Source organism: Homo sapiens, chromosome 13 (assembly GCF_000001405.40).
Source record: "Homo sapiens chromosome 13, GRCh38.p14 Primary Assembly".
NCBI classification, from domain to species: domain Eukaryota; kingdom Metazoa; phylum Chordata; class Mammalia; order Primates; family Hominidae; genus Homo; species Homo sapiens.
In genome coordinates, this window is record NC_000013.11 from 22,437,885 (window position 1) to 22,463,982 (window position 26,098).

Genomic DNA, 26,098 nt, shown 5'->3' on the forward strand with positions numbered 1-26,098 from the left:
GAAGTTCAAACAAAAGGAAAATTAAAATCTCAGGTTTGAAGATTAATTCCTGACCAAAAAACAAAAATAGAGAGAGTAGAGAGGGAAAGGGAGAAAGAGAGTGAGAGAGAAGGCAAGGGGAGAAATAATTAACTTCCTCTAAATTTATTTCTGCAATAATATTACTTGCAATAATAATATTTCTGCAATAATTAACTTCCTCTAAATTTATTTCTGCAATAATATTACTTGCAATAATAATATTTCTGCAATAATTAACTTCCTCTAAATTTATTTCTGCAATAATATTACTTGCAATAATAATATTTCTGCAATAATTAACTTCCTCTAAATTTATTTCTTTAGGTGTTTACCAACACCTAAGGAAATACCTTTTATAGGGGAGTTTCACAAAACCTCAGAGAACCTGAAGTCAGATCCTCCAGTCAAGCCTTTCTACAGTCCCTGTATAGCTGTGTATTCTTTTAATTTATCTGAGGCACATTTTTCCTCAAGACATTCTCACATGTCTGTGTGAGCAGAGAGCCTGTGTTCAAGTCCTACCTACCTGTACTGTTTGTTAGCTGTATGATCTAGAACATGTTTTCTCATTGGCAAAATGGAAAAAAAATAATACCACCTACTTCCTTAGAGTTGTTAAGAGGACTAGACTCTGGCCTGGTGTATAGTAAGTGCTGTCTATGTTTCCAGCCATTACTACTTTTTTTTTTTTTTTTTTTTGAGATGGAGTTTCACTCTTGTTCCCCAGGCTGGAGTGCAATGGCGTGATCTTGGCTCACTGCAACCTCTGCCTCCTGGGTTCAAGTGATTCTCCTGGCTCAGCCTCCCTAGTAGCTGGGATTACAGGCATGTGCCACCACGCCCAGCGAATTATTTGTATTTTTAGTAGAGACTGGGTTTCTCCATGTTGGTCAGGCTGGTCTCGAACTCCCAACCTCAGGTGATCTGACCGCCTTGGTCTCTCAAAGTGCTGGGATTACAGGCGTGAGCCACCACGCTCGGCCTCAGCCATCACTATTAAAGAAGATTATGGGTAACACCTAACATAAAATTGTGAGTAAATAAGATATAACATATACCAACTCTATGAAAGCAAGATTCATTCATTTTATTTATTATTTTTTAATTAAAATACTTGAAGAGTTTTGTTTTGAGCCAAATCTGAGGACCGTGGTCTGTGACACAGGCCTCAGGAGGCTTAGGAGGTTCTGAGAACCAAAGGTAGTTGGTCTGTAGCTTTGTTTTATACATTTTAAGGGAGCAAAAGTTACAGGCGAAGACAGAAATGCTGTGGTTAAGATAAAAGGGGGTTGTGGAAGCCAAAGTTCAGAGAGAATAGATGGTAAATGTCACTTATTGGACCTTAAAAGGTGTCAGACTCTCAGGAAAAGACCTGGTAAGGGAAGGAGATTCCCTACAGAATGCAGATTTTCCCCATAAGAGACAACTTTGCAGGGGCATTTCAAAATATATCAAAGAAATAGATTTTGGGGGTAAAATATTTGGCTGCTCATGTTTTATTTCTAGTTCACCACTTGTAGCCAAGCTGGCCTGGCAGGGGCTGGGACCAACTCAGCTGCACACGTGGTCCCTCAGGTGGAGGAGGTCCTGTCACCCCGCGATGCTGGAGTCATTGCAGGAAACTCCGGATTTTATCGTGGTAAACGGAGCCCCAAGAGATGCTCAGCAGCTGTACACATTGCATTGCTCACATCTCATTAGCCAAAGCAAGTCATGTTGTTATCCCTCATTTTAAACAGTGTTCTAAGTATGGATAGTTGGAGTAGTGCGAGGAAAATGAAGATAATGTGTGATAACTGGGAATGCTATCCATAATTACCACAGAGGCTAAAGCCAGATATACTCAGGCTCTCACAGTTTATTTTGTTAACTTAATCATAATGAAATGTAAGTCATCGCTTCTTTAGACAACTTTTTCTAAACTGCAATCAACTGCTTGGTAAACATATTGGGAAATATGCTGGTACCTTTGTGACTTTGAGATAGCTGATGGTCCCCAGTGCTTCACAGGTACCATATGATCACCTAATACCCTCTCAGTATTATGTTCCAATGAGAGATTCGTTAAGGCTCAGATAAGAACTAGTTAATGGTTCCATGGATTAATTGAGATTTTGGAGTCAGATTTCATGAACTCAAAATTCAGATTTTTTTTTTGAGACCCCAGACTGGAGTGCAGTGGTGTCATCTCGTCTCACTGCAGCCTCGACCTCCTAAGCTCCAGTGATCCTCTCACCTCAGCCTCCCAAGTAGCTGGGACTACAGGCGCATGCCACCACACCCAGCTAAGTTTTTGTATTTTTAGTAGAGATGGGGTTTTCTTGTGTTGCCCAGGCTGGTCTCAAACTCCTGAGCTCAAGCAATCCACCCGCCTTGGCCTCCCAAAGTTCTGGGATTACAAGTGTGAACCACCCTACCGGGCATCAGATGTGCAACGTAATAATTGTGATTCTAGGTATTTACTCCCTACTCCAGGGAGGTATTTCCATATTGGACATAGTACATACCTAAAACACAGGATGTTAGGAGGATAAAGCGAGATGGCTTTTGAAAGTGCTTAGTAAATTGTCCTTATGGAGAAACAATAAATGTTCCTTATTACTACCGCCACTTTGAGGCCTGTGGAAAATAGGACTTTTTTAAATAGAAGATTTATTTTTCATATAAGAAATAGAAATTGGTATGTCAAATACCACTCTGGCTTTAAGGATTCTGCAAGTTTTTAAAGACAGTCATTTCAGCAATGATACAGTGTAGTCATTCAGCCCAAAGAAAGACACAAGGAGAGGAAAGTGAAATTAGATTTGAGGGGGGGGCCGTTATTACATGTGTATGTGTATCACATGTATCTATGGTCATGTGTGTATATATATATATATATGTTTCTGTATTATATGAATATTGGCATGAAGAATATATTCATCCTTTTTTTATATAATCAAAATAACAGGTGCTATACAAATTAGTGGCATATGTTAGTCTATCAAGAAATAGAAGTAGTTTTTCAGGATAAGCATTATAACATACTTTTTAGTTAATAAGTTGGTGACAAAAAATTGTATGTTCTCACTTATGTTGTTTAACAATTACTTAATAAAATTCTTCTTGTGAACAACATGAGACTCGGCAAAGGTAAGGTAATAGGAGAGAGTGAAAAAAAACATAAACAGATAATCTACTCAGGATCAAATATAATTTTGAAGGCCACTTCATGTAGATTAAAATCCATGAAAACTCATTTCATGCTTCTATAAAATTGCTTTCAATTATCTTCAAGGATTAGTAAACACTGAGAAAAGTGAATAGAGCAGCCCAGTGTAACAAAGATTTAACAGGATGACTAAAATTAGCTTTTAAAATGAATACTGCATTTTTGAATTAAGAATTTGGACAAAGTCCTACTGAGGCTTATCTGGGGTTGGCTTTGGGCCTGCAAAAGTACTTATTATGGTCAACCTCTGCTACTGAAACATTTATTAGGGCTGGATGGAGTTGGACTTGGTCAACGAGAGCGATGCTTTTAATTGCATTCATTCTTGATACTTATGTTTTTCACAGTGTTTTAATTCAAAATAGTCCATTTTACTGCAGGACAGATTTTTCTATCCCATTTACCATGTATAATTTTTTAAATAACATTTTTATTGAGGATGTGTAGAGCTAGATTAAGCTTTAGAAAATAAATGATTATCTACCAGTGGTCAGATCAAAACATAAAATAGACATTAGTTGCACACAAGAAGCCCTCCTCATGCTCCATTCCTCTATCTACTCCTGAAAATAACCACTATCATGGTTTATAACACCATGTATTAATTTACCTGTCTTATAACTTGGTAGAATAGAATAGTATATTTAGGATCTTTTGTTTCAACATTATATTTTTATATCCAGACATGTTTTGGCATGTAGCAATACTTTATTCATACTCATTAACTGTATAGTATTTATTTCATCAATAAATCGCAATTTATCTATCTGATAGTCTATTGATGGGCGTTGGGATTTCAAGTCTAGGCTATTATGGATAGTGCCACTATGAATTTTTAAATATCTTTTGATGAACACGTGTATGCCTTTCAGTTATTCGTAGTCTAAAACATATCCTAGAACTTGAATTCCTGAATATATATATATACATACACTCAGACTTAATAGATACCGCCAAACAATTTTGCAAAGAAGCTATTACAATTTACACTCCCACCAACAGAGTGAGTTCCTATTATTTAAATTCTTGCCAGCACTTGTCACTTTGTCTTTTTTTATTTTAACCATGCAAGTCCTTCAGTTTTGTTTTCCTCCCTCAAAACTGCCTTGGTTATCCTTAGCCTTTGCATTTCCGTGTAAATTTTATGATTAAGTTTGCAAATTTTCACAAAATCTGCTGTGATATAGATTGGAATTGCACTGAATCTATGTATTAATATAGAGAGAATACACATATTTACAATAGTGAGCGTTCCTATTCACAAACATGGTGTACCCTTCCAGATACATTGAGGTCATTTAGAAGTGCTCTTAATAATGTTTTCTCATTTCATTATAGAGGTCCTCCACATCTTTTGCTTTATTCTTGCTTGATTTATTCTTAAGTATTTATTTTTATACTGTCGTAAATAATATTTTTAAATTTCACTTTCTATTTGTTCTTGAGATGTAAAAAAATATTTTTATTAAAATATGCTGGCAATTTATCCAGTAATTTTGCCAAATTTACTTATTAATTTAAATATTTGGCTATAGATTTTGGGAGGATTTTCTGTATACATCATCATCTTAACTCTGAATAATGATGTCTTTTTATTCTTCCTTTTATAAGAAATCTTTAAAAATGTATTCTTATTGTACTGTCTCTCCTATAACATGGTGAATAGAAGTGCTAGCAGGAGAATCTGTCTTGTTCCCATTGTTCTGAAGAAAGCTTTCCATATTTCAGTATTTGGTGCAAAAAAAATGTTAGATACTCATCATTAAATCAAGGAAATTTCTTTCTAATCCTAGTTTGTTAAAAAGCTTTCATGATATTTGTCTATTGAATTTCATCAAATGTATTATTCTTCAACTGCTGAGATTATCTTAAAATTTTTCTTTTCGTTTTCCAACAATATGGTGAATTACACTGAGTGACCAGAACATACAAACACTTTCGACCTTCTGGTGTAAACCTCATTGTGGTTGCAATGAATTATACTTTTATACATTGCTAATATTTCACTTATGATATTTTACTTCTGTTTCATGAGAGAAGTTGGTTTATAATTTATTTGTCTTATATATCGTTTTTAGGTTTTACATCACAGCTAAACTAGGCTTCTAAAACACATTTATAAGTATTTCCTTTTTTTCTCTTTTCTGGAAGAGTTTCATAAGATTGGCATTGTTACTTTTTAATACTTGGAGGAATCATTAGTGAAACTTGGTCTCAGGAAGTTGTTTTTTTTTTTTTTCAGCTTTCTTGAGGCATGATTGACAAATACTGTATTTATTTAAGTTGCACAACATGATTTTTTTTGTTTTTTTGTTTTTTTTTTTGAGACGGAGCCTCGCTCTTTCGCCCAGGCTGGAGTACAGTGGCGCGGTCTCGGTTCACTGCAATGCGCTCCGCCTCCCGAGTTCACGCCATTCTCCTGCCTCAGCTTCCCGAGTAGTTGGGACTACAGGCGCCCGCCACCACGCCTGGCTAATTTTGTTTTTGTATTTTTAGTAGAGACAGGGTTTCACTGTGTTAGCCAGGATGGTCTCGATCTCCTGACCTCGTGATCCGCCTGTCTCGGCCTCCTTAAAGTGCTGGGATTACAGGTGTGAGCCACCACGCCCTGCCCTCATGATGTTTTTATTTACAGATACACTGTAAAATGATTACCACTATCAAGCTAATTAACGTATCAATCACCTCATGTAGTTACCTTTTTTTGTTTATTTTTGTGGTGAGAACACTTGAGATCTATTCTCTAAGCAAATTTCAGGTATACAATACATTATCGTTAACTATAGTCACAAGGCTGTACATTAAATTTCAGAACTTATCATCTTATAACTGAATATTTGTACCTGTTGACCAACTTCTCCCCATTTCTCCCACTCCCAGCCCCTACTAACCACCATTCTATTCTCTTTCTATGAATTCAACTTTTTTAGATTCCATATATAGGTGAGATCGTGTATTATTCATCTTTCTGTGTCTGGCTTTTTTCACTTAACGTAATGTCTTAGGAGTTTTCTTTAGGGGAAGGTTTTCAGTAACTAATTTGACTTATTTAGGAGTCTTCAGATTTCTTAATTCTTCCAGTCATTTTGATTCGTTGTGTTTTGTTAAGAAATTTGTCCATTTTCCCTCAAATGCTCTTATCATTACAATATCTTTGGAATCTGTAGTGATGTCTTGTTTTTAATTCCTCATGTTATTTACGCTTTCTCTCTTTTTAAATTAAGTTTCTTTCACTAGGGTTTATCTATTTTTATAATTTATTTTAAAAAACAATTGGTTCTGAGGATTTTCCGCATTATGTTTGTTTTCTACTGATTGATTTCTTCACTTACATCTATGGTTCCTTTCCTTTTGTTTTCTTTGGAATTGATTTAGCATTCTCTTTTGTTTTTTGAGATGGAGTCTGGCACCGTTGCCCGGGCTGGAGTGCAGTGGTGCGATCTCGGCTCACTGCAACCTCCGCCTCCGGGGTTCAAGCGATTCTCCTGCCTCAGCCTCCCGAGTAGCTGGGATTACAGGTGCCTGCCACCATGCCCAGCAAATTTTTATATTTTTAGTAGAGACCAGGTTTCACCATGTTGGCCAGGCTGGTCTCGAACTCCTGACCTCAGGTGATCCACCCACCTCAGCCTCTCAAAGTGCTGGGATTACAGGTGTGAACCACCGCACCTGGCCAGCATTCTCTTTCCTAATCTTCAAATGGGAACTTAGGTTATTGATTTTCTATCTTTATTCTTTTTCTTCTATATTCCTTCTATATAATTCCTTCTAAGTAGTACTTGCTTTATCTGTATACTCCATATTTTGATAGGTATTTCATCAGTTAAAATATTTTTTAATTTTCATTTTTAATTCTACCTTGACAGAGGAGCTATTTGGAAGCTTCCTCCTTACTCTCTGAATAGTTGGATATATTATATTTAGCATTTCATTATTTACTTCTATTTTAATTACAATGTGGGAAGAGCATATACTCTGATTTATTTGAATATTTAAAAATGTATTAATATCAGTTTTGGTAAATTTACACATGCTATTGAAATGAAGTTTTATTCCATTATTGTTAGTTGTAGTATTCTGATAGTATTCTGTACATTACAATTAGAATGAGTCTGTTAATATTGGCCAGTCTTTTGGTTGCCTTCTTTTATTAGTTATTGAGAGAGAGATGTTAAATTCTGTCTCTATCCTTCTATCCTTACCTCATATTTATTTATTGTAAGATTTATTTACACAACTTATAGCCTATTTATATTATTTATATTCTATATATTTAAAATATTAACTGGTGCATAGACGCTCATAATTGTTATACTTTCCTGTTTATCATAATAAACTATCATTCTCTGTCTCTGTTTATGTACTATTACTGCTTTTTGCCTTAACAAAGCCGTGATTATTCTACTTTGCCTGATATTATATTGGGACACGAGCTTTCCTTTAGTTAGTGATTATATAGTATACCCTTTTTCTATTCCTTTACTTGCAACTTTTGCGTGCATCTATTACAATGATTCTCCTATAAGCAAATATAGCTAGATTTTGTTTATTTTATCCACTGTAAGAATCTTGGACTTTTAATTGTAATATTTGGTCTACTCATGATTAATCCAATTGCTGATATATTTGGGTTTATAGGCATCATCTTACTTTTCATTTTTTCTGTTTGACCTATCTGCATGTTGCTATTCCTTTTTCTCTTTTTCAAGTGTGTGAATCAACTACTTATTAATTTTCCTTTTCCCCTTTATTAAGTGGTTACTTACAATTCTCCAAGCTTATTATTCCCTGAGACATGCTGTCCCTGACATTTTACCACGTAATAGGGTTTAAGAACTTTTCCCTTTATCTGACCCTTTTGCGTTATTGTTATCTTGTGTTTTAACTCTATTATTTTTTAAACCCCAGAAGACCTTGTCATTTATTACTGTTGTATAGGTCATAGGTATTTATATTTCCCCACATAGTTACTCTCTCATTATTCCTTATTCTGTCTTGCATTTCCATGTTCCCATCTGAGGCCATTTTTCTGTTCCCTGAAAAACTCATTTTAGTATTTGAGTGCAGGTGTAGTTTCTTCATTATGGCTTGTCTTAAAATGTCTTTATTTTGTGTCTATTTCTGAAGGATTTTTGATGGATATAGAATTCTGGATTAGAAGCTATTTCATTTCAGTACTTAAAGATAACTGTGTTTACACGATGAAATGGAAGTCTTTTTTGGAGTTTTAGTTGCTTCTGTAAAAAAGTTGTGTCTTTTTTTCTGACTGCTTTAAAACTTTTTCCACTTTGTCTTAGGTTTCTAGTGCGTTCACTAAGATCTGCCTTACGGTGTGTTTCTTAGTATTTATTCTATTTAGGTTGCCTACACTTCTTGAATCTGAAAGTTGATGTCATAAATCACTTTGGGAACATTCTCAGTTTATCTGTTTTTATATTTTTTTGTCTCATTTTTCTCCTTTTGCTGTTTCTGAAACTGCAATTATGCATATTAGAACATTTCATTAAATTTCATGCGTCTCTTTTATTTTGTTCATTTTAAATTTTTTTAGTCCTCTCTTTGATTCAATTTTTCTCTGATTCAGCTCCTCTCTGTGATTCAGATCAACTTTCTATTGATCTGTCCTACAGAATTAATCCTCTTTTCTCTTATAAACCAAACTGTCAATTTATTGATTTCAGTTATTTTGTTTCTTTTCATTTCTAGGATTTCTACTCAATTCTTATTACAGATAGTAATATTCTGTTAAAATTGCAACCTTTATTATATTCTTTATCTATTTCTCTTTATCTTTCTCTTTATTTCCTTTATCTTAAAAACCAGAAATATTTTCAAAACTTTGTTTCCAACTCCAATATTTAGATCACCTGTAGTTCTATTTCTTTTGTGTAATTTTCCCCTTAGATTTTGTTCTGTGGTTCCCTTTCTTAAATTTTCTAGAAATTTTTGGTTAAATATCAAACAGTGTCTTTACAAATATTTATAGTCTCCTAATTAGTTTACATCCTGCAGAGAACAGCCCCTGTTTCCTCGGCAGGGTAATTGAAGGAAGGAAAGATCATTTTAATTTAACTCAATTTGAGATTAAACTGACTCTCAACTGGACTGCAGACTCATAAGGTTTCTTCTGCTTTTGATGTGATCATACTCTTGGCAGAACCTGCTGAAGGCTTCCAACTCAGAGTCTGGAGAATTTCCTGGGGCCTCTTCTCCTGGTGAGGTCTCTACTGCAATTCCTAGACCTGCACTGTTGACAGTTCTGTTCTGCCTTTCAGAGGTTCTCTTCTGCTTAAACTTGCTGCTTCAGAATTCCTCAGATGTCTTTAGGGAAAAAAAAATACACAGGGGATATATGGAAAATGTATGTATCTTCTGCTCGATTTTGCTGTGAACCTAAAACTGCTCTTAAAAATAAAGCATATTTTTTTAAAAACCCCAAAACAGTGGCAAGCTCAGTTTTTTACTCTCCTTCCCACTGACATGCTGGCCTTTCAAGTTTCTAAATTTGTCTCTCCAGCTGAGCTCCATCGGACTACCAGCGCCTCTGCAGGTTCCCGTGTACTTAGTGGCAGTCCTCTGACGCGGAAAATCCTGCATTTTCACCTCCTTACCTTCCTCTAGATAAAGCTAATGCCTCCAGAGTAAAAATGTTGCAGAATGTCAGTCATCCAGCACCCCAGCAGTGTCACTTCCCTGGGATCTTAATCCTCCAGTGATGTCTGATTTAGTAGCTCTTCCAAGGCTTTAAATAGATTTATCTGTGTGTATTTTATCCAATGTTTAAAATTTTGTTTTTCTTGTAAGGAGTGTAGGTCTTATCCTAAGCTATTCTGTTATACTTGAAAATGGAATTTCTCCTAAGTCACGTCATTATGATTTATTATCTAATACACAGATCTGTTATAAACCTTACTTTTTTGTTCTTTATGGAGTTAACCTTGTTTGTTTAGAGATACATGGATATGAGATACATGAGATTTCCCCTAAGAATTTTACCCATATAAATAAGCTGCAGATAAACACGCTTCTTCTTGAACAACTAAGAATAAACTGTGAGGTACATGAAAGGTAGTCATAAATTAAAAATATTTAGCATAATTAATGTTTAAATGTTTTTGGTAGACATTTTAACACTAAAGAAATTTAATTGATCTTGTAATGTTTACATAGTACTGTGCATAGGTTCTAGAAGAAAACTATAACAAAATGAATAAACAGTGAATTCTGATTAGTTTTTTTTAAATGTCATTAAAATTTTTTTGTGGGCTGGGCGTGGTGGCTCACGCCTGTAATCCCAGCACTTTGGGAGGCCGAGGTGGGTGGATCACAAGGTAAGGAGTTCGAGACCAGCCTGACCAACATGGTGAAACCCCGTCTCTACTAAAAATACAAAAAATAAATACATAAATAAAAATTAGCCAGGCGTGGTGGCATGCTACTCGGGAGGCCGAGGCAGGAGAATCGCTTGAACCCAGGAGGTGGAGGTGCGTGAGCTGAGATCATGAGATCAGGAGATCAAGACCATCCTGGCTAGCATGGTGAAACCCCATCTCTACTAAAAAATACAAAAAATTAGCCGGGTGTGGTGGCAGGTGCCTGTAGTCCCAGCTACTCGGGAGGCTGAGGCAGGAGAATGGCGTGAACTCAGGAGGTGGAGCTTGAAGTGAGCCGAGATCGCCCCACTGCACTCCAGCCTGGGTGACAGAGCGAGACTCCGTCTCAAAATAATAATAATAATAATAATTTGTGAATATTGATTAGGAAACAAGATTTTGACTGACAAAAAATAAGCCAATAACTATGAAATAAAATACTTTGGTTCCAATTTGATTGATAAAATAAATAACATAGTATTGCATTATTACTCAAAACATAAATATCCATGAGTCCATACTCAATAAATGATAAAATAAATAAATAGGAGAAAGTGGACAAGTATCCTGTGCAGAAGAATCTCAAATACTTTATACAGATACTCTTAAGGAAGCAGACTATATCTCCCTATCCCTGAAATGTGGGCTGTGCAGAGTGAAAACATTTTTTCAATGAGTACAGTATGGAAATAGTGAAAGACTAAACCTTCAGTGGAAAAAACCTGACAAATACTACCTGAGCCGGATGATCAAAGTCAACCTTGACAGTGATAATACATATTGACAGCGATAATACATATTGACAGCGTGTACTCTTGATCTGTTATGATGAGAAGGGCACTTTACTTCTGCAGTCTTCTTCCCAAAATACATGGCCCCAGTCTTAGCATAAGAAAGACATCAGACAAACCCCCAAAAATGAGCATAGTACAAAACACCAGGACTCCTAAAAAATGTCAAGGTCATCAAAAACAAGAGATATCTGAGAAAGCGTCACATTGTACTGGGGCCTACAGAGACATAACAACTAAATGTAATGCAGTATCCTGGATGGGGTCCTGGGGCAGAAAGAGGACTTTCGGTGAAAAACCAAGGCTATATGAATAAAGCATAACTTCGGTTAGTAATAACATATGAATATTGTTTCATTAGCTGTGACAAGCCATGGTAATGAAACAATATTCATATGTTATTACTAACTGAAGTTATGCTTTATTCATATAGCCTTGGTTTTTCATATAGGAGCTCTCCATACTGTCTTTGCAACTTTTTGTCAACTAAGAATATTCTAGAGTTTTTTAAAAGTTTATTTTTTAAAAAGTTTGGTTTCACTGAGTAAGATAATGACGTATTATGCCTGTTTTCCCTATTCCCAATACACGTAATCTGACATAAATTGCTGAACAGCTAGTTGCAAGACTAAAGTGAGTTTCTCATTACAGGTTGATGTAGTCATTTACTAATTGTCATTAAATCTGAATAAATTATATAAATATAAACTATACAAGACCAAAGCCAAACAAAATTGATTATATTTTTACTCTAAATTTAACCTATAATTTCATGAACTATCCTTCATGCCCTGAGTATGTAGGCAATTAGATAAAAGTGATACATGGGTTGAGGAAAAATTTATTGAAATATGTTAAGTCTGCAAACATTTTTAATAAAGTCCTACCTAGATGCTTCTTCTAGCTTGGCAATTATTTATCTCACCACATAACCTCGCTTCATAGTATAATCTTTTATGTAGAATGAATAAGTTTTTTGGTAAAAATTCCCTTTGTCTTTTATAAATGTATATTATATTCCAAGAGCAGAATCTAAGTTTATTGCTTATTTATTTATTTATTGTTTATTAAAACAGCATTGTTTTGAATTAATCACTCAACTATAATGAGAGTTGGGATGACCATTTTGTGACTTAAGAATTTCAGCACCATTGTTCTTAGTCTAATCACTTACTTTAATAATTAGTAGATCATTAGATGACTTCCTTGTCCAATTAGATTTTTGTTCATTTTTATAATTTAAAAATACTATTTCAAGAAAGATTATAAAACTACTTGAATTTACAATACACATTTGACATTTAAAAACACAGAAAATATTTATAATTTTTACTACATGTGCAAACTGCATGGCTGAGTTTGCAGAAATGCAATATTTTCTTTCCTGGCTCTATAGTCACTTGTCTCCAAACTCTCATGACCTTCTTTTTATAGATTATGCCTAAGATACCATCTCTAATTAAATTTCCGTGTAGTGTGAATAATTCAATTTATCAAACTCTCGTCATTGAGACAAGCAATTCACCACATTCAATGTAATTATTAATGTAAATTCCTCCAGATAATATCTTCATTGACAGACAGCATCCCTTCATTTTTGTGGGCCTCGCAGATGATTTACACAAGAGAATTTGATATGTTTTTATTTATTTTTTCCTCCAGAAAAAGAATCCTAAAAAAGATTCTTGTGAAAGCACTAGACACAAAGATGTTGACATGTTGTACCTCTAAGCAACATAATTTATGTTTGGGGGAAACGCCCAGTGTTGGGTTCTGACCATCAATATTTCTGAAAAAAAAATGTAGACTTTACAACAAAACAGTTTACTTTTTTAGTATAGATTATCAAATAAAAAGGATGAGTTGAGCAATTATGCGGCCTCTAGCAACTTATATCAGAAATAGAAATAACCCAGATTCAAAAATAACTTACAGGCCCATCAGTCAATCAAATAAGGGTGCTGCTGAAAAAAGACCTAAATATCTCAGTCACAACAAAGACAACTATTTTCAGAGAGGGCACTGTAGACAAAAACACTGTTTGCAGCTGCAACCCAGCCCTAAGGAGGGCTGCAGACTGGGTTGGGAGAGAGGCCGGTAATGAGCAAAACGAACTCTGTAGCCTAGCTCTCCAGTGAGAAATGCAGGCCAATCAGACCATTTTTAGCCTGCCACAATTGTCCAGGGAGCCTCAGGGCACAAAGGTTGCACAACTGCACCCTTGAATAAACACATATTTGGATTAGTGTCATAAGAGCATGCACGATTGGCTTTTCTCCAAAGCCCCACATTTTGACTGCTGGGACAGGGAATAAAGCAATGTATTATACGGTTAACCAGTGGGCCCAGAGGAAAGAGAAAGAATCCATCCAAGCGTCTCAGAGCACAAGCCATAAAGCTGCCTGCTGGAACTGCAGGCATCCACAAAGAGCCCATCACTCCTTCATCTGCCTAAGAAAACTTTCAATGCCTAGTGCTAAGAAGCAGAAAGAGCCACACTGGCTAGGAGGGGGCTAGTGATAGAATTTGAGGAAGATGAATGAACCGCATGTTAAGCTGCTTCACTGTGGATCCCAGTTTAAAAGCCCTGGTAAATAATTTGCCATCCACTGTTACCTGGAATAGGATGAAAGGCACTGTGTGAGTCGATCCATTACACTACTTAAGATAACTTTGAAAACATGGGAAAACAAGTGATTCCATTGCCTTTGAAAATAAAATAATCTTGCAAAACTACTTTGGTTCTTAAATAAAATATAAATTGGATGTTGGCATTTGCAATATGAACCAAGGAATTATGATGGGAAAAGTTAACGTGACTGCATGCATCATCAGTCATGAGAGAATAGGAACAGCTTTGGAAGACAGCATGGGGAGGATGAGAAGCCAGTGCTTTCCCATCATCAGAGCCCTCAGGCTCTGAAAGAGTGGCCCTGGGAGCAATCTGGAGAAAGGTGGCACTGGCATGGCAATGTCATCTGTTTTTCATATGCCCCTAAGTGAGCTCCAAGGCTGGAAAATCATAATTTGGTATCTTCTCCAGGCCTTCTAAAACCATGGTGCATAAATTTCTGAGGGTATTTATAAGTGACAGACATACTTCCAAGTACCATTAACTAGAGTACTCTATTCATGACATATCCTACTTGGTTTAGTTATGATAACTCAGTCAGCAATTCATTTACTTATGCACTCATTTATTCACCTAATGTCTATTGATTATTTAGAATGCACCAGGCACTTGATCCAGCTGTCCAGAATACAAGATATACTCCTGAAGTCTGACTTTCATTCATTAACAACCACATGGATGAAGAAAGCATAAAAAAAGAAACCATTAAAAGATAGCTGGATTATAACCTAGCTCCCATTTGCACAGAGAGCTGTGGAAGTCAGCAGGTAACAGTTAGCTTTGGGACAAAATTCATAAGATGAATCATTCTTAGGACACGTCACTTATGCAAAGGTTCAATCTTAAATATTTCAAGTCATGAAACTTCTGAGGACCTCTACAGTTGCTTTACAAAGCTATATGTGGGTTCTGTTTAGTAGAAATATTTCTCAGTTACTAGTTTATTGGCTCATGTACTTTGTACCTCATCCCAGGCCATTCTCCTCAGCCTGGAGGAAATTTGGTAGTCATTAAGGACATACAATGTAATAAAGTGTATATTGGTGGCAATATGTTTCCTTTCTCTGTCAGCTGAGAGAGCCCAGAAGCAATAACACCCCAGTAGCAATTAGCACACCTCCTGCCCAGATCATGGCTTCTAATACTATTCTCCAACAAAGGAAGCCCAAGCCCCTTGCAGAAATAAGTGATTCTAGGGCTGAGGCAGAAAAAGGAGGCTGAGCCTGGGGCATCTTGTAGTGTCAGTAAGTAAGACAGCATTTAAAACAAACAAAGCACCCCAAAAACCCACCTGACGACGATGGGGGTTATGTCCAAGGGACACAAGAGCCAATTGAAGGAGCCCAGATTGCCAAATACACAGCAATTTGAGCAACCAAAAACTATCACAGGATTGGATCATAACCCAGTGCTTAGGACCAATATCCATGTGTCCATATTGTTATCAATTAATGGTTGAATAAATAAATAAATGAAGAAGAAGAGATGCAAGCCCTGTGCAGAATCATTCCATTTAATGTATAATTTACATTCTGTTCTCCCTCCAGGAAGTGGAGGATCACATCTCACCCTGCAAGTGCGAGCTATGCAGAGTGCTGTTCTGCTGAGGAATGCGTATGGAAAGGTGAGGAAAGCAACCACACAGCGGATAAAGTTGAGAAACACTACCTCAGCCCTGTGGCCAAGGTCAGCATCAACAGCGACACATTATGTTGGTGGTATATACTCACATGATGTGGTCATGTGATGTGGTGATGAGAAGAGCATTTCCTCCTCAAAGCCCATAACCCCATTCTAATAATGAGAAAACTATCAGCAAACCCCAAATTGAGGCACAGAGTGCAAAGTGCCTGGCCGGTACTCCTCAGAACTGTCAAGGTCACCAAAAACATGGACAGACCCAGCAACTGCCACAGCCCAGAGGAGCCTAAGACGAGATGAATAAATGTCATATAGTCTCCTGAATACCATCCATGAGCAGAAAAAGGACATTGGGTGAAAACCAAGGACATCTGAATAAGGTATGGACTTCAGTTAATAATAATGATCTGTATTGATTAATTGGTTGTGACCAAAATACCATAGTAATATATAAGGTGTTAACAATAGGGAAAACTGGGCACAGGGCATGTAGGAACTCTTGGTATTATTTTTGCAACTTTTTTGTAAATGTATAACTATTCTAAATAAAATATTCATTTAAAAAATATAGAAACTTAGAATTCCCTCTGGTAGCCTCTCTGCTGTCCCCTTTATGACACAGGTGAGAAGGGAGGAAGGAAAGGGAGGTCCTTCGGGTGGCAAGCGTGAAGGGAGTGAGAGCTCCATTCCTCCTTCGTCTTTTTGTGAGAGCAGGGCCTCTTGCCATCCCGGGTGCCTGAGTCTGAAAGGCACTGTGGCTCAGAGAGGGCATTTGGCTTGTACACAGCAAGCAGGGAAGTGGGAATTTCAAAGGGGCCAAAATGGCGAAGGAGGAACCCTGAATCAGCTGCCAGAGCTGGGATGCCTGTTCCTGTAATGATTACACTGAAATTACTTCCATCCAGAATGGAATACATATATACTCTCACCAAAGAAAGGGTTTTTTTTTTTTTTTTAACGCGAGACTTGTTTTTAAAATCATCACTTGCTCTTTATGAGTATGCAGTGACATCATGGTGCTAGTCATAAAAATATAGCGAAAGTAGGAGAGACATATCATCTTTTGTCCACAGTTAGACAAACAACAAACATTTAGAAAATTTCAGGTTGTTGCTGTCAAGTACTAAAGCCACCATCTGCATAAGGCATGGCAACCCAAGGTTAAACCCTAAAATGGAATCTCTCTGAGTCAGGGTCTCTGCCCACTGAACCAGCCTGAAGGTTAAGCAAGGTCAAGAAGCAGCTGCAGAGAATGAATCACCGGCTTCCTCCTCACCAGCAGGGGCTCCAGCCTGCTTGCCGTCTGATTCTATGCCTGTATACCTGCTTTCTGGTCTCAGGCTACCTCTGCTTGCAGTGACACCTTGAACTCTCTTGACATGAGTGTGTCTCTTTGCTGGCCCCTGTCCAAGTTTGTCCTCTGATATGAAGTGTGATTCTGTCCCGGCAAATTAACCTTTTCAGGTTTGATTGCTGGACCCTCTTTTATTAGGAAGTATATGGCCTGAAAATGCATGGATTCAGGCACTTTTCAGGATGTTGGACAGATCTGCAGAGATTAGAGAGCAGGTGTCCATACTCAAGGGGACAGTTATTTGCAGAGCTGGATGTCCTTACTGAACTCTGGAGGGTTGGCAGCAGGTGAGGTTTGGTGGAGAGAGATCAGGATCATCTAGAGTGCCTTTTAGACTCCCTGCACATGCTCTTGGAAATAATGCTATACCCTCTCCCAAACAGGGCGTATTCAAACCCCCCACATAGGGAATACTGTTGATGTGAGTCACTGTTACTCGTGACAGCTTCTTACTCCACAGAAGTGCTGAACACAGGTAATTGGGCCACATTCCTTGGTGCAGAGTGGTGGTTAAATATCACAGTCCCTCCATAGTGGGTGGTAACCAGCCACTCTTCTTATCCTCGATGTGACTGGATGCTCCCCCTTCTCTCCCAGGCCCTGCATCACCCGGCCCTCACCAAAATTCAGTGGCAACAGATGCCTGACACAGGATGCAGGTGCAAGGGTGCTGAGGGTCTGTGCTTCAGTGCCTCAGCCGCTGCTGTCACTGGGATATGCCAGAGCCAGCTGTTCAGCATTTTGGGCATCACTGCTGTCTGTGCTGAAGGTAGAGAGCTGCTACAGATGGACTGAGCCAGAAAACCTTTGAGCGGGGGCTGGAGCTTCTGTACTTTTTGATGACTTGTCCAGTTGGGAACCACTAACCAAGACTTCACTATTCCTGTTTTCTGAATATTTGTTGGTAAAGGGCTAAGTCATCGTGTGTGTGTGTGTGTGTGTGTGTGTGTGTGTGTGTGTGTTTAATTGCAGATTTTTACGGGGTGTGTTAAAGTAGGAGGAGGTAAGGCAGTTGCAAAAAACATAATATGCAGACATCAAGAAAGATGGCAATTTACCCGAAGCACATTTTATGCCATCATTGAGCTTCTCCCTGCCTTTTAAAATTTGTCATTAGTTAAACAGACACAGTAAACATCTTTGATCCATTCTTTCGATTATTTGCCTTCCTAAGTATGTTTGCAAACTTGCCCCCTCTTCTTCATTCCCTTTGTCATTGATTTTTGAAGCAAGAGTGGCTTCAATACATTTCTCTTTGCATCTCTATATCCAATGTCTCCCTCCCCCAGGCCAACCTCCTCCACAGCCATCAAAGTGATGCTTACGAGACCCAAAGCTGATCAAGCCATCGACCACTTAGATTCTGCAGGCACTCTCTGTCACGTAAGTGTAATGCATTAGTCTCTCAGCGTGACCAGAAGGTGTTGATGATGTGATGTGTCTGTTCTTATCTCTTAGCACTGCCTTTGCTCTGCCTCCTTTCAGATGTATCAAATATTTGAAGTTGTCTGAGCAAACCATGGTCAGATTGGGGGGCCTCTGTCTGCACAGGCCACTCCCTCTCCCTGGGAAGCCTCTTTGGCCTTTCTTTCCTTCCTGCTGCCCACCCTTCTCCCCAGTAACTTCCACTGTGCTGATGGGGTTGACCACTTAGCTTCAGCCTGAACCCTTGGTCACTTCTGGTGAAGGCCTGCTCTTGAAAAAAGCACGGCCTTTTTGTCTTTACAGGCCAAACATTGTATGTACAACTCAGCCATGCGGTCACCACCCAGGTGTTTTACACCTTAAGGGCACTCCAGGCCCTCTGTACAGCACACTGCAGGTAAATCAGCTGGTGATCATCGAATACACAAATGAATGGCAAGAACAGAAGGAACTGGCTGGTGGAACAGGCCCAACACCATGTGGAAGTTGCCAAGGCTTGGGGCCTGCACCCTTTGAAGCAATGGCCCAAGCTGTACCTTGGCCCCTTTCGGTCATGGCTGTAGCTGGAGTGTCTGGGACATGGAGCACCAAGTCCTGAGGCTGAACAGAGCAGCGGGACCTTGGGCCCGGCCCACAAAACTATTTTTTCCTCCTAGTCCTCTGGGTCTGTGATGAGAGAGGCTGCTGCCAAGATCTCTGACATGCCATGAAGACATTTTTTTCCCCATCGTCTTGATGATTAGCATTTGGTTCCACGTTACTTATGCAGATTTCTGCAGTGGCTTGAATGTCATCTCAGAAAATGAGTTTTTCTTTTCTATCACATTGTCAGCCTGCAAATTTTCCAAACTTTTATATTCTGCTTCCCTGTTAAACATAAGTTTCTATTTCAGATGACCTCTCCCAGGTTCAAAGTTCCACAGATCTCTAGGTCAGGGCCAAAATGCCACCAGTCTCTTTGCTAAAGCATAGCAAGAGTGACCTTTGCTCCAGTTCCCAAGAAGTTCCTCATCTCCATCTGAGACCATCTCATTCTGGATGTCATTGTTCACATCATTACCAGCATTTTGGTCAAAACCATTCAACAATTTTCCAGGAAGTTCCATACTTTCCCACATCTTCCTGTCTTCTTCTGAGCCCTCCAAACTGTTCCAACCTCTGCCCATTACCCAGTTCCACAGTGACTTCCACATTTTCAGGTTATCTTTATAGCAGTACCCGACTCTCTGTAGCACCAATTTACTGTATTAGTCTGTTTTCACATTGCTATAAAGAACTACCTGAGACTGTGTAATTTATAAAGGAAAGAGGTTTAATTGACTCACGGTTCCACATGGCTGGTGAGGCCTCAAGAAACTTACAATCATGGTAGAAGGGAAAGCAAACACCTTCTTCACAAGGTGGCAGGAGAGAGAAAAGCAGGGGAAACCACCACTTATAAAACCATCAGATCTAGTGAGAACTTACTATCATGAGAACAGCATGGGGGAATCTGCCCCCCATGATTCAGTCAGCTCCCGCCAGCTGCCACCAGGTCCACGACCTATATCTTTATCATCCCTCTGTGATGTATGGTGGGCAAACATTCTTTAGAGATAAAAGTTTCCTGTTAAATATTTGGAAATATACTTAGGAAATAATGCTGGTGCAACTGACAAATATCCCTCTTTAGTGACTCCATAGCCCATGTCCCTCCTGGAACACATAACCTCACTGTCTCATTGTAGACTGGGGAAAAGCCGACCCATCCCCCACACAGCTGCAGCGAGATCTTCCTAAAGTTCACGTAAGATGTTATCACCCCTCTGGCTTAGGAGAAACAAAACAAACTTCCTATGACTCTCGCTACCTTGAACAAATGCTTCACAGTGCCTTTTGCCGTGGAGCTCAAACCTGCTGCTCCAGAGTCATCTCCTTCTTCTCTTTCTTCCTTTCTGTGCACCTTCAGTTTCAGCAACACTGAACAACTAACCATTCCCAGAACATTCTACATTTGGCCATGTCTTTGTGTCATTGCCTAGCAAGCTCCTTTTGGCCTGGGTAGCCTATCTTTACCTTTTCATTTACTCAGGCTGGCACCTTGATCTTGGACATGCCAGCCTACAGAACCATGAGAAATAAATTTCTTTTGTTATAAGCCATCCACTTTATGATATTTCATTACAGTAGCCAGAACGAACTAAGACATGTGTGAATGTCAAAATTTTGCTCTGCCCCTTACTTTGGCATTTCAATAGTTAAATAAAAGGTAGGCATGCCTCATCAGCCTGTGTAACAACTTAAAATGTTCTCAAACAGGCCTTCCAATCCTCCAATCTAGTTCCATTCCTCCCACTTTTAACAATTTCTGGACTCTCCAAAGAGAGCATCAGTGTGAAGCTCAGGAGCCATTCTGCCGACTGTAGCACCATGCAATATATGCCCTGATTATTCTCTCCTGCTTTGGTTCTAACAGAAGCATCACTGCTCCCACTAGTGATGGTGCCCTCACGCCATGTTGGCATCTCCTAAGAGCCACAAAGCCATGTTCTTCAGGATGTGAGAATGGGATGGGAGTTTCTGAGCAGAGGTGGCATGCCCATGGTACCCTCCTGCTTATGTGGTTACCTGTGTCCCAAGGTGGGTCAGCCTGTGTTCAGGATCTCACAAAGTCTCTCATGAAAATAGTTGTGGGCTTCAGACTCATTCTTTGCTCCCAAATCAAAGTTTAACACAAATCATGGGCTCTTGTGTGGCTCTGGCATGGTTCATCCTTTGACCCCAAAGCCAATGTTCTTTCCACCATCACCTACTGCTTTACACATCCACAAAGGAGGTGACACACAAATCTGTCTAAATACAAATACACAAATCTGTGATTCTTGTTTGTTTGGCCTGAGATCGTCATACTCAGTATACTTGTACGGCTCAGTAATACTTGCCCTGGATGGTCCGTTCCCTAAATTGTCTCTACCCAAAAGCGTGATAGGCAGAGCTCTGATGGTTTTAGGAACTGCTCCCAAGTCATCCTTCACATTACCAACCCACCGACTTGCCACTGTCGAGGTTGCCTATTACCTTCCAGTGGCCCATCCAATGGGCACCCTGGTCCTCCTCCCACTGCCTCACTCTCAGCGTCCCACACAGGTGGTTATGCTCTTCCTCAGAATGCTGGCTTTCATGGCACCATAGCTTTCCCCACCTTTGTTAGCCTTACCTCTGAGCTCCACTGAGTGCTTCTCCGGAGTTTTTCCTTTGGGTTTCTGATAAAAATCTGATTCCCCAGGATTGCCTGTGTCCCTGTTACTTTCTTTCTCAGACTTCAGCTGGATGTCTGCACTCCCCCTCTCGGCTCTAATACCCTCTGCCTACTCAGAGCTCCATACTGGTGTGTTAAGTCCACGCCTTTCTTGTATGAGGAATCATATCTCATCTACCTTGACACCCTCAAAACTGAGCTCCCCATCCCACCCTTCCAATCCTGTTGCTCTCTAAGTCTTTCTTATCTCTTTAAGTGATGTCACACTCTTCAATTTCACATTCAGTTTGCAGTAAATTCTGCATGTTGAGTCTTCTGAACATACTTTGAACCCACCTTACATTTTCTGTATTCAGTGCTTCTACCTAAATCTGAGCCATTATTATCAGATCTCTTCTTTTCTCTTGGCCTGACCCCTTACTCTATTCAAGGTCAATACACCACATGGAGTCAAATTTTTCTTGATTAAATATCATCCTACCATTCTCTGACTTAAAAGGCTGCACTAACTTTGCATTTTCCTGGAGTTAAATCTCATCTCAGACTGTGGCTTATGATGTCTTGCTTATTCTCCTAAACTTGCCTCAGCTTACCCTTTCATTCCCATACTCTATCCTCTATCCTCACTACACTGATCTTTGCAGAGTCTTGACCAACGTTTCCTGACTTACAGCTTGCATATGGTGTTCTTCGTACCTGGGATACCTTGTCCCTTGTCCTTCACATGTGCTTCCCCTGATGTTTCACCTAAATAGGATCCATGCACAACCCTTCATTAATTTTTTACCTAAGCATGGCCTTTATGGCATATTTCTAAGTCTGTAATTACCTATTTGTTAATCTGTTTATGATCTGTCTCCCTCTACTAAGCTATGTGCTCTATGTAGAGGGGGGCCCATGTTTATTTTGCTCTATATTGTTTATTCATGATCTGCATAGAGCCTGCTTGTCTGAAATTTTTTAAATTAATTAATTTGAATATTTATAATTGACATATTATAGTCGTACCTATTTATGGGGTACAGTGTGATGTTTCAATGCATGCACATGATATATAATGATCAGATCAGGGTAATCACCATATCCATCACTTTAAACATTTATTGTTCAATAATAGGAAATGATTCAAATCATTAGTCATTATACCAGGATATTATTTATCATTTAAAATGATATAAGAATGAAGATTGACATACAAAGTATTTATGGAATACGGTTACTAAAAAGCAGGTTGTAGAGCAATGTGATTTAATTTGATCTTCTGTGCCAATCTGTCCACACGTCTGTTCATCTGCCTATTTGTTCATCCATCAATTCACCCTTCCTCTCACCCATCCATCCCCCTATGTATTTTAAAGGGTGATCACCCTTTAAATTTACTAAGGGAAGGAAAATAGATCCTGGTGTAGCAACCACAATGTCATATATATATATAGTAAATTTTGTCTAGCAATTTATAGATTGTCCACTCAAGCCTGTGAGTTTTAGAAGAAGCTAACTCTTCCTCTGGTCTCAGGGGTGGAGCGGCTGATTAAGGCCTAAACTGATATCAGAGTAACCCCATCACGTGGCTACAACTGTGGATTCAGAAGCGAATAAGTAAGTCCTCTCAAGGAGTGAGATGAGGAAATATGCTTGCTAAGAACTTGTGATAATGACAATTCTTGCTCTCCTAAGATAACTTTCATAAATGGCTCTCAGTTCCTCTCCTTGAGTATGAGTATGCCTACATCTGTCCCCACCAGTGCTCGGGACCAATCCTGATACGATTAAAAAAAAAGAGACAGGCTTGGATGAAGCTGATACCATAGGAAATAGAATAGAGCGGGGAAACTTGGCATCGCTAAGCCGCTGCATCAGTAAACCTTTAAGCTACCCTGCCTGTGGCCTCAGATCCACACAGACCCCCAGTCCCCTTAGTCATTCAAATCGATTGATTTAAGTGGGCTTTTCTCTTATCCAAATCAAATGTACCATGATTTGGTGTGCATGTGTGTGTAAGTATATGAGCATTGGCAGATAAAGAGAGACATACAGACAGAGAGAAAAAAAGTCTGAAGTGACACCCAACAGAATGTAACAATGTTCTGGGTTACAATGATAGTCAACTTTTCAAATCACATTTGACCTTTCAAATTTTTTTTTTGCAATAGGCCTGAATTACTTGTTTGATCAGAGAAAAACATCAACAAAAGCAACAAACCATTTAGAAAACAAAAATCAGGCAGTTGCATTTGGAGGAAAACAGACTAAGTTCAGAATGTGGTAGAAAGGATGTGTGTGTGTGTGTGTGTGTGCGCGCGCGTGTGCATAATTCTCATTATCTGTGACCATGAGTACCACATGAGCCAAAGTATGATACATTAGCCAAAAAATACATATGAATATAGTACGAACTTTTTTTTAACAAGACAGTGTCAAGGTCAGGGGTGTTAATAATGCCACTGTTCTTTGCTCAAGTCAGACCACACTTGAAGTATCAGTTTCAATTTCGTTACTACAAGAGTTCAGGAACTAGCTGACACGTTCCAGGGATACTGGGAAAGGATTTATGCATTTGGAAAGAGATGGAATTTTAAGACTTTTGAAATTTTTTTCCCATTTAAGATTCTATAGTTCTCTGATTTTCATGTTGCTCTTGGACATTAAAAAAGCAATCATATTATAAACAGAGAAACCACAGATCAGAGAGCTCAAGTGACATGCCAAGGCCCTACAATTGGTTAATGCCAGAGTTTTGTCCAGAAGCCACTTCATAACCCACACGCTTATTAAAGAGGAGTAGACAGATGAGATCTGTCCAGAGAACTGCAACAGGGATGACTTGGGCCGCACAGATCATTTCCAAATGACTCATGTTTAAAGAACCAGAGAACCTTGTGAGGGCGAGAGAGCATAATGTTGTTATCAAATAAAGCTGTCATAGGAAGAAGAATGCCACTTGTTGTGATTAGCTGAAATAAAAAGAAACACAGAGTTGATGAAGAGCTTTCTTTTTTTTCTTTAATAATAGAAGTAAGGATTTTCTGACATGAAGAAATGTCTATAGATGGTCTAAGGTGATCGAGAGTGGGAAGGGAAGGTGGCAAAGACTTGTCATTGCTCCGTTCTTCCATGAATAGACGCCATAGCTTTTAGGTAGGCACCTGGCTGCCCAGGTGGAGAGCACATTGCCCCGCCGCTTGGCAGTAAGGTGTGGCCTGTCACAAAATAACTTATTCTCTTTACAAATTAAAGGTTGGCAGCCACATAATGAGTTTATTTGCTATGCATTGCAGGGCTTATATGGTTCAGAAAACAGATCCACACAGCCTGGGATGTCCTGCCTGGGCCTCACTTTTGAACTGCTTGACACCTAGAGAGACGGCAGCCTTTACCATTCAGTTGTTAGGGGTTCAAGTAATTGCTGAAAGTGTACCACAGAGAGACTTAGAAAAAAAAAACAAGGAAAAGAGGCACACATGGGTTATCTAAAGTTACAAAGACAGGGGAATTAAAATAGAAGTAGAAGTTTGTTAGGAGCTTAGTTAAGTTAAATTATCTTGGGCCATTAAAGTAAGTCAATAGGTAATGGGTATAATGCATTAATGAAGAATGAGGGATAAAAATTCGTGTTTTCAGAGAAATGGAGTCACTGCCAGGGGAAACTGCCAAGCTAGTGAATAGTGGTTGCCTATTTGGAAGTGGAGCTGGGTGGGGTGTGCATGAAGCAGGACATTCTTGTTTTCAATTTTAAGTGCTAAGTACTATTTTATTTTTAAATATGAGCACATATTACTTTAGGAAAAATGCATGCACACACACACATGGCTCTAGCTCTGGTTCTGAGGGATGCTGAATGATTTTTCAAATGTGGGTGGGGTCTGCACACAGTCTGTAGATGGGACATCAATACGGAATGGATGGGCTGCTACCTGGAGGCTAGAGTGTGTTTAAACATACAGAAAATTATGCTGCCTTTGGTCTGTTACATCTCCGACTGTCACGGGAGGCAAACATTCTCCTCTTTAGCCCAGCACACAGAGAGTGCTTGTGACTTGCACCCAAGTGCTTTACTTCAGCATACTATTCTCGGGTTTCCTCATAAAAAGTTATTGGGGCTTTCAGAATATTAGAACATGAGTTTTTCTGTTACATAAAGATTCAGCTTAGCACAATTAAAAAAAAGATACGTATTTTTTATTTGAAAATTGTCTTGCAGTCTGCCATTTTACTCCCACCAAAGCAACGTGTTGAATGTTTAAAAACCTTTGTCAATATACAGAGTACAGCACTCAACCATGAGAGAGTAAACTGCTGGTTGCTCATGTGAAAATCTCCACTATGAGTATCTGGTATTTTTCTCAAGACCTTGTTGAAATTGAAAACTGCAGAAAAATAAATATATTTTTCTTTTTACTGCACAAAACCTC

The 26,098-nt window shown here is 38.8% G+C and overlaps 1 long non-coding RNA gene across 2 annotated transcripts in view, besides 1 other annotated feature; it reads left to right on the plus strand.

Annotated features, from left to right (window-relative positions):
• Nucleotides 1-19,579, plus strand: part of LOC107984599 (uncharacterized) — a 29,408-nt gene extending 9,829 nt beyond the window's left edge. Inside the window, exons 1-3 of one of the 2 annotated variants that reach the window (XR_001749780.1) lie at nt 16,406-17,498; nt 17,621-17,792; nt 18,313-19,579. This is a non-coding gene — a long non-coding RNA (uncharacterized LOC107984599). Of the gene's footprint in view, nt 1-15,575; nt 16,050-16,405; nt 17,499-17,620; nt 17,793-18,312 lie in introns of those variants that run through there. The other variant, XR_001749779.2, reaches the window with a different exon arrangement.
• Nucleotides 16,786-17,080: an enhancer, noted in NCBI's record as "tiled region #8838; K562 Activating non-DNase unmatched - State 24:Quies". NCBI's record gives its function as "activates a minimal TATA promoter and a strong SV40 promoter by Sharpr-MPRA in K562 cells {active_cell/tissue: K562}" and the evidence as "EXISTENCE:reporter gene assay evidence [ECO:0000049][PMID:27701403]".
• Nucleotides 19,580-26,098: the final 6,519 nt, after the last annotated feature.